At 47.7% G+C, this 18,049-nt stretch overlaps 2 long non-coding RNA genes across 5 annotated transcripts, besides 1 other annotated feature; one reads left to right on the top strand and one right to left on the bottom strand.

Moving 5' to 3' along the window:
- Window positions 7,844-8,371: an enhancer, noted in NCBI's record as "NANOG hESC enhancer chr12:130560143-130560670 (GRCh37/hg19 assembly coordinates)". NCBI's record gives its function as "activates a minimal SCP1, AML or CMV promoter by ChIP-STARR-seq in primed H9 embryonic stem cells {active_cell/tissue: H9 hESC(primed)}" and the evidence as "EXISTENCE:reporter gene assay evidence [ECO:0000049][PMID:30033119]".
- Window positions 11,284-12,634, bottom strand: LINC02419 (long intergenic non-protein coding RNA 2419). The gene is made up of 2 exons (NR_146538.1): window positions 12,331-12,634; window positions 11,284-11,682 (listed from the first exon to the last, which is right to left on the bottom strand). It is a non-coding gene; the product is annotated as a long intergenic non-protein coding RNA 2419 (long non-coding RNA).
- A 53-nt stretch (window positions 12,635-12,687) lies between these two features.
- LOC105370077 (uncharacterized) lies at window positions 12,688-16,726 on the top strand. Of its 4 annotated transcripts, none has more exons than XR_945550.1 (4): window positions 12,688-12,723; window positions 15,518-15,603; window positions 15,721-15,833; window positions 16,622-16,726. It is a non-coding gene; the product is annotated as an uncharacterized LOC105370077 (long non-coding RNA). The 4 variants fall into 4 exon arrangements; XR_945546.2 differs by lacking the exon at window positions 12,688-12,723 and adding an exon at window positions 12,988-14,767; XR_001749395.2 differs by lacking the exon at window positions 12,688-12,723 and adding an exon at window positions 12,988-15,176 and having other exon boundaries at window positions 15,733-15,833.
- The last annotated feature ends 1,323 nt before the right edge of the window (window positions 16,727-18,049 follow it).

Here is an 18,049-nt window from a genome sequence, read left to right as displayed (position 1 = left end):
TCTGGGAAGCTCAGTCTGAGGCCTGGGTTTCCAGCTCTACCAATATCATTTTAATGAGTAACTCTGACGCTTAGTCAGAGCCGGCCTCTGCTGCTTGCAGCTAGGAAACCCAGTCAATGGATGGACTCGCTGTCACCCTAGACCACTCCAGCTGTTCTCCTGCCTCCCAGTAGAATCTACTCCCCTGTCCTATACTCAGCGTTCTCAGGTCTTCAGCCTTTCTTCTGTCAATCTGTCTTTCACATGGCACAGAGTCATCTTTCTAAATGCACGTCTGTCGATTCTTTCTTCAAAATCCTCCCCATCTCCGCGTCCCTGCACCGCGCACCCATAACTCCCCATCTCCCCATCAAGACCCAGCCCCCAGCATTCTCAGACCTTCTCAGGTTCAGAAAATCCAAGCACAGGCCTCCCTGGGCACACCTCTGGGGTACTGAACAGAAGGGGTTGTTTCTGGGTCAGAGTGTGGGCGATTTACACCTGGAAATACACCGTGCGTTTGCTGGGACCCATCCCCGTGCCTGCGCGGCAGGAGTTCCCACGTACTCTCTCACACCGGGGGCTGTTCTTAGACGTTCACATCCTCCCCAATCTGAAAAGTGGAATACTGACTGGGCGCCTGTACTTTCTCCTCAGCGTTTTGCCTGTTTATACTCTTGCCTATTTTGGTTTGGGGTTGCTTTTCTTTTTCTTCCTGGTTCACTGGAGCACATTAGACATCTGTGTCCGAAGCCTTTGCCAGTGACACACCCTGCAAGCACTTTCTTCCTGTTCTAACTTGCCTTTTGTTCGTTGTCACTAGAGTTTTACAGAGTTTTACACTGGGTTGTATGAATGCTATGTCTTCCATATTTGGTTTCTGGTTTGGAGTGCTCTCTCGTGACAGTTTTACTCATTTTGAAAGTTTCAGCTCAAACATTATTGGTTCAGTGAATAAATGGTTACCACTACTATTGTCTACTTGACCTTGGTATATGTGTGTGTGTTATACACACACGTGCACACATGAAGGTACACACACATCCATTATACATTCATGCACACATACACATTCACAGGCCAGCCGTTTCTCTGATTTTCCCACAAGTTTTCAAAAAGATCTTGTGTCTCTGTGTTAGAGTGTCATGCATATACACACATGTGCACACATGTAGGTACATGCACACACAAATATTATACACCCATGCACACATACACATGCACCCATACATACACATATAAACACACATATATACACACATAGATAATACATGTAAAAATATTTTACAGAGGAGAAAACTGATTACATATAATATATAATCATATATGCATAATGAGTATCATATATAATCAGTTTTCTCCTCTGTAAAGAGAAAATACAGAAAAGATACCCGTTCTACCATCCTCATAGGGTTGTCATGAGCGATGAATAAAATAATTATGAAATTTCTTATGCATGTGTAAACAGCAATACTATAGAAAGCTGGTTAATCTGTATTTCTTTTCTGTCAGACTTTACCAGGCCAACCATAGACACTTCTCTACAAGCAAAGGGAGTTAGTTAACTAAGTTCTCATACGAAATGCAGCGGAATGCTGTTTAAACATCCTTGTTATAATGAGGATGGCAGCTCACAGTGATAAGCCCACAGTCAATGTGCCAGAAGCATCACAGTGTCTGTGAATTACTGTCTGCATTTTACAGGCTGGAAACTTGAGGCTCTGTGGCCGCCGGTGCCCAGCCCAGGGCAGGGCTGCCATGGAGCCAGAATGCCCTGTTTCCAAAGCACGGCTTTTCTGTATGATCAGTTTGCCCCTAGCTCAGCACAGTCGCTAAACTTGGGGCCACTGTTTTTTTTATTAATCTGGGTTTCTAAAGAGGATTGTTTTAAATATAATTTTTGACTTTATAATCTGTTGGCTAGTATTATTTATGAAAAGGAAGAAAGAAAGAAAACTCAGCCACCTTTTGATTCTGAATGACATTGTTAGCGACACTTCATGCCGTAACGCCGGTAACTCCCGATCCCCTTCCTTATCATTTCAGAAGCTCCCTTTGAGTTCTTATCACACAAGACACCTACCCTGTGTGGGGCTGGACTGTTCATTTTCGGGCATTTTAAATACACAGACTCCAACTTCTGTCAAAAAAGGTAAGTGAGAGGCTCATTCCTTTCAGTTTATCTGGTCATTTCTTACCGATGCGCAGAGTCGGCAATGACAAAACTTTGGAAAAGTAGGTAGAATTTGGGTTGTCTTCACAGCATGGTTTTCACGGCCCCCTGCCTCCATCACTGCGGTATTTGGGGGGGGGGGGGATTGTGTCTTTGGCAGGGAAGATTAAGTGGACTGCATCCCCCCCACAGAGGGTTTAATTGGCAACAGAGTCAGAACCCACTGATGTGTGCAAAATTCATTATAGTATTTGGGCTTGGAATGCTCGCACGGGCCAGCCGTTTCTCTTTCTGATTTTCCCACAAGCTTTCAAAAAGGTCTTGTGTCTCTGTGTCAGAGTGTCAGCTCCCCAGTGGGGCCAAGTTTCCTGAGTTATGTTTTTTTAGTAACCTCAAGGGCAAGGGAAAAGGTGTGTAAATCCTTTAGCTTCTGTTATCACTGGATTAGGCAAAATCATGTGCCCAGAGGAGAATCAGAATGCTTAGCCGAGATAACAGCCCCGTTAGTCAGGATTCACTAGAATTCACAGACCAGCTGGGGAGGTGGGGAGGATGTGGAAGAGAGAACCCAGTGATATCCGTAGTTAGCGCCTTTTAGGTTCATCTACCTGGGTTACATGTGACCTGCTACAGATGACACCTGAGAAGCTGGGTCTTCCAGCTCCCCAAATCGGACAAATTCTTCCTAACACAATGAACTACACGAAGCATGGTACTTTGATGCAAGTGAGTTTAAAGGTTCCCTTCCTCCCTCCCTCCCTCCCTCCCTCCCTCCCTTCCTTCCTTCCTTCCTTCCTCTCTCTCTCTCTCTTTCTCTCTTTCTTCCAACAGAGTTTGCTCTGGCGCCCAGCCTGGAGGGCAGTGGCATGATGTCAACTCACTGCAAGCTCTGCCTCCCTGGGTTCAAGCAATTCTCGTGCCTCAGCCTCCCGAGTAGCTGGGATTACAGGTGTGCGCCACCATGCCTGGCTAATTGTTATATTTTGAGTAGAGACAAGGTTTCACCATGTTGGCCAGGCTGATCTTGAACGCCCAACCTCAAGTCATCCACCTGCCTCGGCCTCCCAAACTGCTGGGATTACAGGCATGAGCCACCACGCCCGGCCTAAAGGTTCACTTTCGTTTCTTTTCTGTGAGTATAGTGGATACTTGCTGTTTTCTGGCCACTGAGCCACTGCTCACACGTATTTTAGTAACAGCATTTATTGCTTAAGGTAGATCAAGCTGCTATAACGAATGGGCCACAGAATCAATAGCTCAACTCCAAGGAGTTTGTGTCTCATTCATGCAATAGACAAGGCATGAGGAGGCGGAACGTTCTGCTCCACGTGGTCTTGTGGGGCCCCAGGCTAAGTGAGTCTCCTCCATCTTTAACATGTGCTTCCAAGATCACCTTGGGCATCCACCACTCCAGTCAGCTGAAAGGTGCAGAGTGCAGGGGGAAAGTGCAAAGGAGATGTTGCAACTTGCCCTGCCTCCTCTAACCAAGGCACAGGCACATGATACGAACTTGGCCAACTTTTCCTCCCATGACTTTTGAATCTGAGTGGTGTTGTCCAGGACAAATTAAAAAACTGGATTTGGCCAGGCGTGGTGGTGGCTCACACCTGTAATCCCAGCACTTTGAGGGGCAGAGGCGGGTGGACCCGAGGTCAGGAGTTCAAGATCAGCCTGGCCAACATGGCAAAACCCCGTATCTACTAAAAATACAAAAAAATTAGCCAGTTGTGGTGGGAGGCGCCTGTAATCCCAGCTACTCTGGAGGCTGAGACAGGAGAAATCACTTGAACCCAGGAGGCGGAGGTTGCAGCGAGCCGAGATCGCGCCACTGCACTCACTGCTCACTGCACTCCAGCCTGGGTGACAGAGCAAGACTCCGTCTCAAAAAAACAAAAACAAAAACAAAAAAAACTGCCTGGGCTGTGATGATGAAGGCTGACTTGATAAGGGTCATCCAGGGTAAACATCAGGGAGGGATACCAATTTTTCATGCTGATCCAACGAGGCATTATTAGAAGCAAGGGGATGAAAGGAAAGGAAACTTTAGGCTGAATGTCAGGATAATTTTCCCAAGAGTGAAATCAATTAGCCTCTGAAGACTTGCTTCTCGGCAGCAATCTACTTCAAACCCGACTCAGAGGGACATCTGAGAGAAGGAAACAGGCATTCGCCCCACGCAGAAGACCGAAAGCAGACTCCTGGGGCCTTTTTGCCCCATCACTCTAATTTCTTTAAATGAATTTCTGAAGCACAATGTGCTTTTTCTCTAGATCTGTTGCAACCAATCTGACCTGAGTTTGTTCCTGACTCATGAGTCATAAAAATATTTACTGTTTCTGCGTTTGTACTTTCTTGGCATTTCAGAGCTGGGCACTTAAGGGTGCCCCAGCCTCCCTTCCAACCTCATCTCACTCTTCTTAATTGCCTGACCTTCGAGTCCCGACTGCCACGAGCCTTGGTATGGATTTAACTGACAAAATGCAGCAAATATTTATTGAGCATGTACTATGTCTCAGGCACTGTTCAGGTCCCTAGAAAGCAGAGAAGGAAGCACAGGATTCCTGCTTCCATGGAGTTTAATTCTGATGGGATAAACTAGTAAAATAATGTTAAAGGACAAATCAACAATATTCAGTCTTTTTTTCCTCCTCCCAACAGAAGCTCAACTGGTTTGGGAGCACAATGTTACTTAAGTATTCAATTTCCCATAACTCCTTGCAGCTTAAGGAAGTCATGTGACTCAAATCTGACCAGCGAGATACAAGCAGATGTTTTGGGGTGGGGCTTTCAGGGAAACTCTTCTCAGGGGTGTAGGCTGATCGGGTTGTCTGTTTGACCTTGGACTTTCACCTTCTGAAACATGATTGCAATGCCCAGTCACCTTGCGACCATGAAGACAAAGTCAAATATAAGTACAGCTGTGCAAGGGGAGCAGAGGAGCTTGGTTCAGAGCAGCTGGAATAGTTCTGCCTCCAGAATTCTTGTAACGTGAGAAAAGTAAACTCATTAGGAGTTAAGTCACAATAATTAGTTCCAATGGCGCCAACTCTGACTGTGAGAACAGATTTTGTGGAAATATATATGTGTATATATGTACTTATATGTGTATGTGTGTGCGTGTGCGTGTGTACACATTTTTTTGTTTTGAGACCTGTTCACAGACTCCTGGGCTCAAGTGATCCTCCTGCCTCAGCCTCCCTATAAATACATTTTTAAATGATCATCTTGCTTTTTTCATTGCGTCTTGCTCAGGTGGTTATTAATATGCTGCTGAACTGAAAACGTTCTTGCTCTGAAACCTTTCACTGGAAGGCTGGGCTCAGCTGGGACTGTCTATCAGAGCATCTTCATGTGAAAGCTCCAGTTATGAGGCAGTTGAATATCTTACACAGCAGCCAAGGGCTCCGACCATGAATGTTCCAGCAAATGAGGTGGGAGCTACACCAGCTTTGTGGACCCAATCACAAGCTGGCTCAGATTCAAGGGTAGGAGAGGAAGACTCCATCTCTCAGTGGAAGAATATCAAAGGATTTCCTTCTGGTCCTAAGACCTCTCCATTCCCCAAAGCTAGATTCATGGCCACCTCCTCTAATAGGTCTTTCTTCTGTACCCCAAACCATATTGATCTCTCCCTCCTGGTAACTTTAGTAACTCATTCATTTGGCATTTTTTCACCTTCTGCCCAAGTTTACTGTGTAACTACCTGGTGTGTGGGGGTGACTCTTGTGCATTGAGACCATCAGCTTTTGTGCACAGATACATCTCTTGTCTTCTATGGTCATCTAACCCAAGAGGCATCCTATGCCTGTGTCTGTGTTGCCATCTCTCTCTCTTTTTGAATCGATCTCTGTCGTTTTTCTCTATTTGTCTCTTTTTCTCTTTATCTCATTGGAGGCAATATTTATATAAGTGATTAGGAGCTTGGGTTTGAGAATTGCAGAGACTAGTTACTGGATTTATGGCTCTTCCCAACTATGTGGCCTTAGGCAAAGGGCTCATGTCTCAGTTTCCTCATTTGAGAAAAAGGAAATCGTGATGACTCTTAAATAACCAAATGCATGCCAAACTCTGAACACTGCATGATGTTTTGGCTGTGTCCCCATCCAAATTTCATCTTGAGTTGTAGCTCCCACAATCCCCACATGTCATGGGAGGATCTGGTGGGAGGTAATTGAATCATGGGGGCAGTTGCCCTCATGCTGTTCTCATGATAGTGAGTGAGTTCTTAAGAGAGTTGATGGTTTTATAAGGAGCTTTTCCCCCCTTTGCTCAGCACTTCTCTCTCCTGCCGCCTTGTAAAGAAGGACATGTTTGCTTCCTCTTTTGCCGTGATTGTAAGTTTCCTGAGGTCTTTCCAGCCATACAGAACTGTGAGTCAATTAAACCACTTTTCTTTATAAATTATCCAGTCTTGGATATTTCTTCATAGCAGCGTGAGAATGGACTAGTGCATTGCACCTGGCATAGACTTGTGTTTGAAACTGGCATCTACCATGACCACCACCATCCTTATCACTATCACTTTCATTTTGTGTATTTTTATTTTGCTTTATATAGATCTAGCTCCACATTAAATAAAGCCCAATGGTGGACGGGGGAGTGTTCCTAAAGAGTGGGTGTTTCCTGGACCCATTTACTCAAGGAGAAGGACAGATGGATAAGCGTTTACAAAACAAACAGCCTACAGGAAGTCTGGAAACTGTTTCAAAAACAGTCTATAACAGCAACCAAAAAAAAAAAATGTGTAGATGGTGATGTAATCTCTCTGGTAAAAGAGGAAAAGCAAACGGATATTGTCTGCGTGTAGAGCCGTGGGGCCACTAGGGCAGGATTTCCATTCTTAGAGGGCTCCTGGGACTGCCTTTGTCTGGCACTGGCCAGGGCTCTCACACCTCATCAGGGTTTGCAAAGACAACTTCTCACTTCCTTGAGACGTGCTTTTCATGGGACACACACTATAATGTGTATTAAGTTACACGTGCAAAAACAAGCACTTATGCATGCTTTAGGGGAAAAAAGACTAGAAGGAAATACACCAAACTGTGAGTGGTGATTATTTCTAGGATGAATACATATTACTTTTATAATCGGGAACAAAACACAATAAAGTACTTTTAAAGCAGATCTACTTTACCAGAGATGGAAAGTATTACAAAAGAAAATGCAGGACATTCACAGAAAGGTCCTAGGGAACCTTCCAATAGGTTCTCGTTCTTCACTTTGCTGACTGATGATCTTAGGAACTGTTTTAAAATTATGAAAATGTGACTTCATCCTGCATTTACTCCACAGCATCTGGAGAAGGAATATTGTAGTCTCATTTTGTTAAATTTTGTTAGTAAATAGGATGACAGTGTATCCTTTAAATTTTTTTTTAAAGCTTGGGTGTCCTTCCCTGAGATACCTGCATGTGAGCCCTGGCTCTGCCACCTCCTGCTCTGTGACCATGAGCAAGTCACTTAACCTCTCTAGGACTCAGTGTCCTCATCTGGGAAATGGGTGCAATGGCAGGGCCGAGCTCATAGGATCATGGGGAGGAATGGATGAGCTACTGCACACTATAACTCTTCTTTCCTGTGACATCCCTTAAACCGTCTCAGTTCTGTCTTCCAGAAGTTGCTCCTACTACCCTGTGGCCCTGGATGATCCCAGCAGAGTCTGCACCCCCTGTCTTTTGTCTTTTGGATCGATCAGGAACTCCTGTCATCTTTTCCTGTAAACAGATCCCCGTTGAACCGAAGTCTCCCTCCACCTCTGTCTCCCCACCTCAGACTCATCCTCCTCTCTAGACCATACCCCCTTGCTGGTCTCCCTGCTCTCATTCTTGCCCTGAAAGCCAGTTCTCTGCTGGGAGCAATTCCTCTAAAACTTAGAACAGGTCCTGCTCCCTCTGCTCCTCCACCATTCCCAACCACGTTTACAACACAATTGAAGTCCCAGCGGGGGCCTGTGAGGTCCTCATCTGCCCCTGGGAGGCACCTAGCTGCTCCAGCCCTAACCCCCCACCCACCAGGCTTTTGCTTGTAGGCCTCCTCTGTGGCAAGGCTTTCCCTGGCCATCCCACCTGAAACACATTCTGTCACTTTCTGTCCCTTTACTCAACGCCCTTCCTTCACAGGATCCACTGCGACTATAGCTCCACGTGGGTGTTTCTGTCCCAGATCTCCTGGTTACTGTCTCTTATTACTTGTTCTTATTTCATTGCTCATAGGAGTTGCATGGTGCGGTTTTGTGGGTGAATGAAAGACATACATTGACTTGTAAGCAACTGTTCCAGAGCAACAGACTCTGGACGTCCCAGCCCATCTGCAACTATTCGACTTGGCCCACAAGCTTTCTGAGGCCAGGCTGCACACGTCATCTGACCCTCCCTTCGGAGGAGCAAGCAAGGATGCAGGAGAATTTGTGGCCCCTAGGAATATCTCTGACGGTGTCTTCATTCACATGCACACTAAAGGGAGCACACCAGCTCCTCCAGACTAGCAGGCCCTGGTGACCTAGTTTCTGTCTTGAGGCTCCCAGACTTCAGGAATATTTATGCTGCTGTGATTGCATTGCTTCCCCCAGTCTTGAGTGCCCTCTGAGCATGTGAGTCCACTGGGAGGTTTGTGTTCACATTACTAAGTGTTCATAGCAATGTGAGGATGACAAGGAAATGACTAGAAACTGCTAAAAGCACAGGGAGGAGGGAAAACACTATGGCCCCTGATCTCCATGGTGTCTCATGTCAAGTGGAGATGTGCACATCGTGTGACCTCGCTGAGTTTCCGCAGGTGCCTCCCGCCTCGGGGGTGGAGGGGGAGCCCTTCACCAGCTCACTAGCCCCACAGGCCAATGTGGAGCCCCATTTTCTAAAGAGATCTCTGGTGGCTTTAAAATATAATGCATTATTTGATGTTCCACCCTTCAAGAGGTGAAAACTAATTCCTCCCCCTTGAGTGTGGGCCAGACTCAGTGACTCACTCCTAAGAAATAAAGCATGGCAGAAGCAATGGTGTGTGACTTCTGTGACTAGGTCATGGAAGTCAGGGTAGTCTCCTTCTTGCTCTCTCTGGGGATCACTCCCTCTGGGAGAAGTCAGGGGCCATGTCACGAGGACATGCAAGCGTTCAGAGCCCAGTGAGCACACCATCTTGGAAGCAGATCCCCCTTCTCCTCCTTCAGTGGCGGTAGCCCATCCTTGGCCAACCTCAGAGAGACCCTAAACCAGAACCCCTGAGCTACGCTGCTCCCAAACTCCTGACCCACAGAAATAAGCAGTGAATGTTTGTTGTTTAAGATGCTCAGTTTGGGAGGTAATTTGTGACCCAGCAGTAGACAACCCGTACCAGATCTCTGCTTCCTGGGACCCCCGTGTTCATGACTGCTTGACAGTTTCCTTTGCTGCACTCACCACCTCTCTGCCCTTTTGGGATTCCGTTGCCATAAAATGGAGACAATAACATCTATAGGGTCGTGGTGAGAAACAGCTTTAGAATAAAATATTTAAAGCCATCAGTGCAACGGTCAGCACATAGAAAGTAGCCGAAATTGGAGTTGTTTTCATTCCTGTGTAGATCCCCATGCCTGTCGGACAACATCATTCGTGCCGGTTATGACAGGCCTGACGGGCATGCACCCCACAGCCGCCTTCTTAACTGGCAAAAGGAGAGCCACTTTGCACCCCTCAGCAGTGCCCATAGGGCTCTCACACTGCCTCCATCCTCTAGTGCCCAGACACAGGCCCCTACAGCCACCTCTGGGAAGGGCATCCTGTTGCTTTCGCCAAACCTTCTGGGCACCAATGCAAAACTCTCATCTTCATTGCTTAAGTTTCTCCTAAAACTCCTTAAGGAAATGAATTCATTCTGGGCTCTGATGCTTTCTCAGGCCTGCCAGGACACACCTACATTCAAATGCAGGCTCTTGCTTACAGCTGATGATGCATGCGTTGATGACAAGTGTGCACACCCGTGCCAATGTGTACTGGCAAGATGGCCAGAGCTCTTACAGGAACATAAATCATTGAGTAAAATATTGATTTGGTACTTTCTTTCAGTTACTTTTTTTTTTTTTTGAGAAAGACCCTACTCTGTCACCCAGGCTGGAGTGCAGTGGCATGATCTAGGCTCACTGCAACCCCCGCCTCCCAGGTTCAAGCAATTCCCCTGCCTGGGCCTCCTGAGTAGCTGGGATTACAGGCACCTGCCACCATACCTAGCTAATTTTTGCATTTTTAGTAGAGATGAGGTTTCCCATGTTGGCCAGGCTGGTCTTGAACTCCTGACCTCAGGTGATCCACCCGAAAATCCAAGTTATCCCTTTCCCTTGCCTGCAACATTTGCTCTCACTTGGGACTGCAACGCTTAACAGATTAAGACTGTCTTCTTTAAGGGTGTGTGTCGAGGGTGTTTGGTTTTCACTCATTTCCCAACACTAAGCTGAGGTTCTATCATTTGGAAGTTTCTGTACTTTCGGCTCATTCACGAGCATGTACCTGGGACAGAGCCGATGTGTGGTGTCTGTTAAAAGTAGGACGGTGTCTGTTAAAAGTAGGACAGTGTTTGCCACTGTCATGCCTCTCCCCGGGAAAGCTGGCCCCATCTTCACAGTGCGTGCACGCGCGTGACCACATTTGATCCTCAGGGCTACACTCTGAGATCACTGGGCCACGTGTCAGGTTTACACTCTTTTTAGAGATAAGAAAAATACAGATACAGAGGGCTTAAGTGGCTTTCTACAGTCACCAAGCCAGTGGTTGCAAATCTGGGTTTGAACTCAGTTTCTGACTTCAATTTGGGGCCTTTTGTGCCAACTGGGTTTAGACCAATGCCTACGTGATGTTTGCTCTGTGATGCTGTCATTCTGATTGAGAGTGGAACCGCTTAAAATAACACTGAATATGCTAACACGAGGCACTGGGGCACAGTGTAGACAGCTGGGCCCTGGAGCCAAGCCCCTCGGCTTCAAAACCCGGCTCTGTCGTGGACCAGCAGGACCACCTGAGCAAGGTGCTGCACTCACTTTGCCTCGGTTTCCACATCTGTGAAATGCAGGAGCTGATAGCATCTGCCTCACAGGGTTGTTGTGTGGAGTCAGTGAGCTCACCCACGTGCCGTGTATACAGTACCTGCTCAAGGATAAACACTCAGTTCATATTAACTCTTTATTAAGGTCTCATTTTTGAAAGCCTTGAGACCACTGGCTGCATTTTCCAGCTTTTCTCTAGTACCTGGTGTATGTAAGTACCAAGGGTTGTCTGCCTAGACTTGTAGGCAACATGATTGTAAAAAAGAGGGTTGTTTACCATCTGGAAATAGCATCGCTTGGATTGCAATCATATGCCTTGAGGAAGCCACCTTCTTGTAGTAGAAAAGTCAAAAGCCCTATTATTTTCTTTATATTCAAATTTCGCTCTTAAAAATCATTTAGCTTCGTAATAAAAAAGCAATTAAGAGAAAAACAAACAACCATGTTCCTTATTGTTAACAATCCTGTATCACGCTCTTAAAAATGTGTTAAGAGGGCAGATCTTATGGTCAGTGTTCTTTCTATGAAACAAAACAAAAACCAAATTACTAAGGTCTTCTTCTCCATCAGAAACCTTAGATTTCAGCTGTGGTTATAGTCTTGGCTAACTAAATATGGACGATCCTTTGGAAACATCTTTTCTCCCATGCTTGTTTTATGTTGCTACGGTTTGGCTGTGTCCCCACCCAAATCTCATCTTGAATTTTAGCTCTCATTATTCCCATGTGTTGTGGGAGGGACCTGGTGGGAGATAATTGGATAATGGGGGTGGTCTCCCCCAAACTATTCTCGAGGTAGTGGATAAATCTCATGAGATCTGATGGTTTCATAAGGGAAAGCCCCTTTTGCTTGATTCTCATTCTCTCTCTTGCTGCCACCATGTAAGACATGGCTTTCGCCTTCCGCCATGATTGTGAGGCCTCCCCAGCCACATGGAACTGTGAGTTGATTAAACCTTTTTCTTTATAAATTACCCAGTCTCGGGTATGTCTTTCCAGGCAGCATGAAAACAGATTAATACAACTTGTATTTGTAAGGCCCATTTTCCACAACTGCAGTTTAGTGGTCCCAGAACATAATCTTGTGATTGGGAACTGGGGTTCATTTCACTTGTTGGGCTTATCTGCCTGCAGGGCAGGAATAAGGGAGAAGCTACTAAGTGGACTTACTGCTCAGCTGCAGCCCTCCGCAAACAATCTCCCTCCTATTTTCTCCCGTGTACTTCCTGCGGGGGGTATTCAATGGTTCAAGAGAAGAAACTGCAGTCCTCATTTATCAGCGTCCTATTTCCTGTGACTTAGCCCAAATGTCTTTATGGCCCAAGTGAAAACATAATTCTCAAGTATAAAGAGAAAAATGTAAGGGAGAAAAGCTGACGGTTTACTGTGGATGGCTACCTGCATGACAGGTGGAATAGCTGTAGCTGCACCCAGAAGACAACTGACTTTCACCCTCAACAGCCCCTGCTGCCTTTCAGAACCCTCTCTGTGTGTGATGTAATAATGGGGCCCTGCCAGGTGTGGTGGCTCATGCCTGTAATCCCAGCACTTTGGGATGCCAAGGTGGGTGGATTATTTGAGATCAGGAGTTCAAGACCAGCCTGGCCAACATGGTGAAACCCCATCGCTATTAAAAAATACAAAAATTAACCAGGTGTGGTGTCTCACACCTGTAATCCCAGCACTTTGGGAGGCCGAGGCAGGCAGATCATGAGGTCAGGAGATCGAGACCATCCTGGTTAACATGGCGCCTGTAATCCCAGCTACTCGGGAGGCTGAGGCAGGAGAATCGCTTGAACACGGGAGGCAGAGGTTGCAGGGAACCGAGATTACGCCACTGCACTCCAGCCTGGGCGACAGAGCGAGCCTCCGTCTCAAAAAAATAAACAAATAATGGAGTCCACATGACTTTCAGAAGTGACAGGGCAGTGACCAGCAAGTGAGGCTCAGGGAAATCCAACTTTTATTTAGTTAGCCTGATATTTTTCCAGTTCATCAAATATGCATTCCCATGGAACTTGTGGGAGTTTTCATTCTCATGCCCAGTTGGCTGGAGGAACGGCCAGGGTAGGTGGCAGGAGGTGAGGCATGTTTGTGGCAGGGCCGGGCTTGAGCAAAGCTGAGGTCTGCCCTGAGCTCACTGCGAAGACTGATCTGCGTGGGTCTGCAGGTGAGTTAGGGGCCTGTGACCCGGCTGCCCAGCAGGCTCATCCTGATTCTACTGAAACCCGAGTCTGGGGCGCAGCCAGTCCGCGGGAGCACGAGGCAGGGCGTCTGGATGGTGAGCTGCATTTTTTGCTTCCTGCCTTCCTGACCATGGCAATCACGTGGAGCATGAGGGAGCCCGGGAGGTCGGACTGCAGTCCAGATTAGCTCGCGGTGAAGCTGCTGACGGGCAGCAATCAGACGCTGTTGCCAGGCTCTCAGCCCTCAGTCCTCCGGGCTAAGGGAATCCAGGTCACGTTCTGACTCGGGGAGCCTGTGCTTGCGGGAGGTGAGGCCTTAACCCAGCCTCGGCTGGGGAAGAATTGAGTTAGTTAAGTCAATTATGGTTATTCACTTCCCTTTGCCGGTGATTGGCTTTGGAATGGGCACGTGACATCATTCTGACCAATGAGAGGACGTCTGCTGTGAGGCAGGCTCTCCTGAGAAAGAACTCTGCTGCACTTAAAGGGGCCAGTGATGGACATTCTACCTTTGGACCTGTGGGTGCTGCTGGTTGAGGTGATGATACTTGGGGGTGCTGCAGCCACCTTGCCACGTTGAGTAGACAAAGCTGAGGTCAAGGCCAACCTGCCAAGGATGCCAAGAGATGATGGGAAGAACCAGTTCCCAAGTGGTCACTGACCCACTGAGGTTATCAACCTGGGTTTGTCTATTTCTGGACTTTTGGTAATATGAGCTAATAAATATCCAAGTGGGTAAGCCTTTTTGAGCTGGGCGTTTTTTCTCATGGAGGCAGCTTCCTGTTATAGGGGGCAGTGAAGAAGTCAGAGTTCATGGCTGAAAGCACAGGATGCAGACTTAGACAGACCTGAGTTCAGGTCCTTGCTCTGCCACCTACTTGCTGTGTGACCTTGGGCTTAGCTTCTCTGACCTTGAGTTTCTTCATCTGCCTCCAAATAAGGGAGAGCCCTGGCAGAATCATGGGAGGAACAGCGTGTGGAGCCCTCAGCACAGAGCCCAGCCCAGTGAGCAGTCAATAAATGTTAGCTCTCCCAAAGTTGGCAACCAGTCTGAAAGACTTCATGCCCAGTCTCACAGCAGAGCTCCGTAGCCCAGGATCTTCCAAGCACACGTTGCTCGTAGCCATGAAGAAATAAAAACAACCCATGTTTGGCCCAATCTTCTACACATTAGGGCTTTTGAGCCTTTCCTAGGGATACCAATTATGCAGCATTTTGTGCTAGGTGGATCTGGGATTGTTTTAAGCTCTCTTTCAAATGAAAGCAACAGTCTTTTTTAAAAAGTAAAAATAAAATGGACTCATCACCCAACAGTAATGCACATGTATGTTCATCAAAGAAAATATAGAGGGATCCACCGCTGTATGATTGGTACCAGCCTGTTATGGGGTTGAATTTTGTCCCCCACCCAAAAAGCTGCGGTAAGTCCTGACCCCAGGACCTTGGAATTGGCCTTATTTGGATGGAGGGTCTTTCCAGAAGTAACAAAGCTGAAGTGAGGTCAGTAGGGTAGACCCTAGTCCTCATCAGAAGGGAGAACTTGGACACAAAGAAACCCACAAAGGGAAGGCGATGTGAAGACACAGAAAGAAACGCCCACCTACAAGCCACAGAGTGAGGCCTGGAACACGTCCTCCCTCCCCACACAGCCTCAGAGGGAACCAGCCCTGCTGTTGCTATGATCTCAGATTTGCAGCCTCCAGAGCCATGAGATAATACGTGTCCGTGCTTTAAGCCGCCCAGTCTGTGGCACTTTGTTATGGTAGCCTGAGCAGACTAACACAGGCCCCAGGCTGGACACAACACAAATGCCCGTCAGGAGGTGCGCAGGTAAGTAAGTGGCGGTGAATTTATACAAGGCAGCCGTGAAACCGAACTACCTCCAACTAGAGGCAACATGGAAAATTCTCAGACATGAAGTCCAGCCAAGAAACCAGAGGCAGGAGTCCATCCTGCAGGAGTCCACCCACTGAGATAAAATTAACACGTGGGCAAAACCAACTGAGGGTGCCAGAAGGCAGAATAGTGGGGACCCCGGGGGCCAGTGATGGCAGGGAGCTCGGGGGCTTCTGGGGAGCTCGGGGGCTTCTGGGGAGCTCAAGTTCTCTGTGTTGACGTGGGTGCTGGTTGTACAGATGCAGGCAGGTTATCAAATCTTATTATCTCAACAGATATTCTTAAGAGGCAGCAGATACCCACTGGAATCCCTCGAAGCCTGGCAGCCCCCCACGGAGCAGAGGGGGCCCTGTGCATGAGGGTGGGTAGTCTCTGAGCACCTCCCCTCCTGCCACGAGCCCCTCGGGTGCCTCAGTATCCTCAGACACTGGTTAAGCGCACCCACTGTGATGATGAAAGGTGACTTTTACTCTGTCAGTCTCCTTTTCAGCCTCAAAATCACCAACTTCTCATCATTAAAACTGAGAGAGAGAGAGAGAGAGAGAGAACACCAAAGCCTCACCGTGGAAACACATGAACACGAATGAGCAGGTTTGCTTCCAAATTAGACCACATCCCAGTGTGGCCAGGGACCCAGCCCCCTTCTGTGATGGACACGCGTGCCCTTTCCCCACTCTTTCTTGAAAATGACTGTCCTTGATGTACACCGTCTTTCCCTGTTGTGAAGATGTGGGTTGAAGCAGGTTCGAGGAGGCTGAGTGAGAAGCCCAGTGCTACGGTTTGAGTGTTTGTCTCCTCTAGCATAGAAACTTAATTCCCGATGTGGCAGAAGTGATAGGTGGGGGCTTTAAGAGGTGATTGGGCCAAGAGGGCTCCGCCCTCATGAATGGATTAATCTGCTCAGGGATTGATGGGTTATGGTGGCAGTGGGACTGGTGGCTTTATAAGAAAAGAGAGAAAGCTAAGCCGGCACACTCAGTCCCTCGCCATAGGATGTCCTACGCCACCTTGGGACACCATAGAGGCCCCACCAGCAGGAAGGACCTCACCAGGCTTGCCCCTCCAACCTTAGACTTCTCAGTCTCCATAACTGTAAGAGACAAATTCCTTTTTAAAAATAAATTAGCCAGTTTCATGTATTCTCTTATAAGCAGCAGAAAAATGACCAAGACCCTCAGGATCCTACACTTGGCAGCAGCCAAGCCCACGCTGGGTCCTGGGTCCTTCCACGCAGCTGACAGCCCTTGGCTGTGCTGCCAATGCCTGCACACACCTTGGCTTTGACTACTGTGTTCGTTCATTTTATGTTGCTGTAAAGGAATACCTGAGGCTGGACAATTAATAAAGAAAAGAGGTTTAATTGACTCACGGTTCTGCAGGCTGTAGCGGAAGCATGCCATCTACTGCCATCTGCTTCTGGTGAGGCCTCAGGGAGCTGCCAATCATGGCGGAAGGTGAAGGGGAGCCAGTGCATCACACGGCAAGAGCAGGAGCAAGAGAGGTGCCAGGCTCCTTCAAACAACCAGCTCTCCAGTGAACTAACAGAGCAAGATCTCACTCATCTCCAAGGGTAGGGCCAAGCCATTCGTGAGGGACGCACCCCCATGACCCAAACACTTCCCACCAGGCCCCACTAACAACCCTGGGCATCACAGCTCAACATGAGATTTGGAGGAGACTCATCCAAACCATATCAAGTACCCTCCTCTCCCAGCTGCCTGCAGCCTCCCTCCTTTACAGTTTTGGCAGGGCCAAGCAGTGTCAGAAAAGCTCCTGGGACTCTGGAAGGGGAGCAGAGGGAAGGCTGGGTGGCGGGGTGCTGGATGCTCCAGGAGGTAGTAGAACTGGCTTCAGGTCGGGCCATAGACATTGATTCATTTAGAAAAATGTGCTAGTCCATGGCTTGCAGGCTCGCTCCCAAGACATTCTGGGGATCTGTTCTTTAAAAACATTTTCTCTATCTTCCTTGCCATAAACCTTCAGGTTAAGAAAAAGAGAGAACACCGCCTTTGGTTTGCTTCTTACAATAATTCCATGTGATCAGTGGAATCAGTTATTTCTATTCCTATTTCAGAGCTTCACCCTGTCGCCCAGCTGGAGTGCAAGGCACGACCTCAGCTCACTGCAACTTCCACCTCTCAAGTTCAAGCAATTCTCCTGCCTCAGCCTCCCGAGTAGCTGGGATTACAGACACACATGACCACACCTGTCTAATTTTTGTATTTTTAGTAGATATGGGGTTTCACCATGTTGGCCAGGCTGGTCTCAAACTCCTGAACTCAGGTGATCTGCCTGCCTTGGCCTCCCAAAATGCTGGGATTACAGGTGTGAGCCACCACACCCAGCCTCTGTTCCTATTTTATAAAGATGAGGAAATGGAGGCCACCGTCATGATGGATGAGTGGCACAACTGAGTCTGGAACCCAGGTATTCCGAGCCCCCATCCTTATCCTGTCCCTGAGTCAGTGGTGTGCTGGCCAGTGCTTAACAACTAGCTCCCTAAAACCATATGCCCTGGTTTGTAGCACCTGCCAGTTTCCATGGTGTAAATACTTGCAGCATGGCCAAGTGCATCCTGCCAACCTGATGACAATAGACTCACACATTCCTGAAAATTTAACATTTGGCCCTCGTGAGCCAGTGTGAGCTATTTTGAGCAAATCGCTGCCCTTGAGACTTCTATGTTAGTTTATTTTCTCTCTGTCCTGTCTGTCACAAGGACAGCATTGCCCAAACTCCGGTCACGCGCTACGCAGAACAACGATATGGTCAACAACAGACCACATGTACAATGGTGGTCCCGTAAG

Source organism: Homo sapiens, chromosome 12 (genome assembly GCF_000001405.40).
Source record: "Homo sapiens chromosome 12, GRCh38.p14 Primary Assembly".
Taxonomy (NCBI): Eukaryota; Metazoa; Chordata; class Mammalia; order Primates; family Hominidae; genus Homo; species Homo sapiens.
The sequence above is the reverse complement of the archived record's forward strand: the minus strand, read 5'-3'. Positions and strand labels throughout refer to the sequence as shown.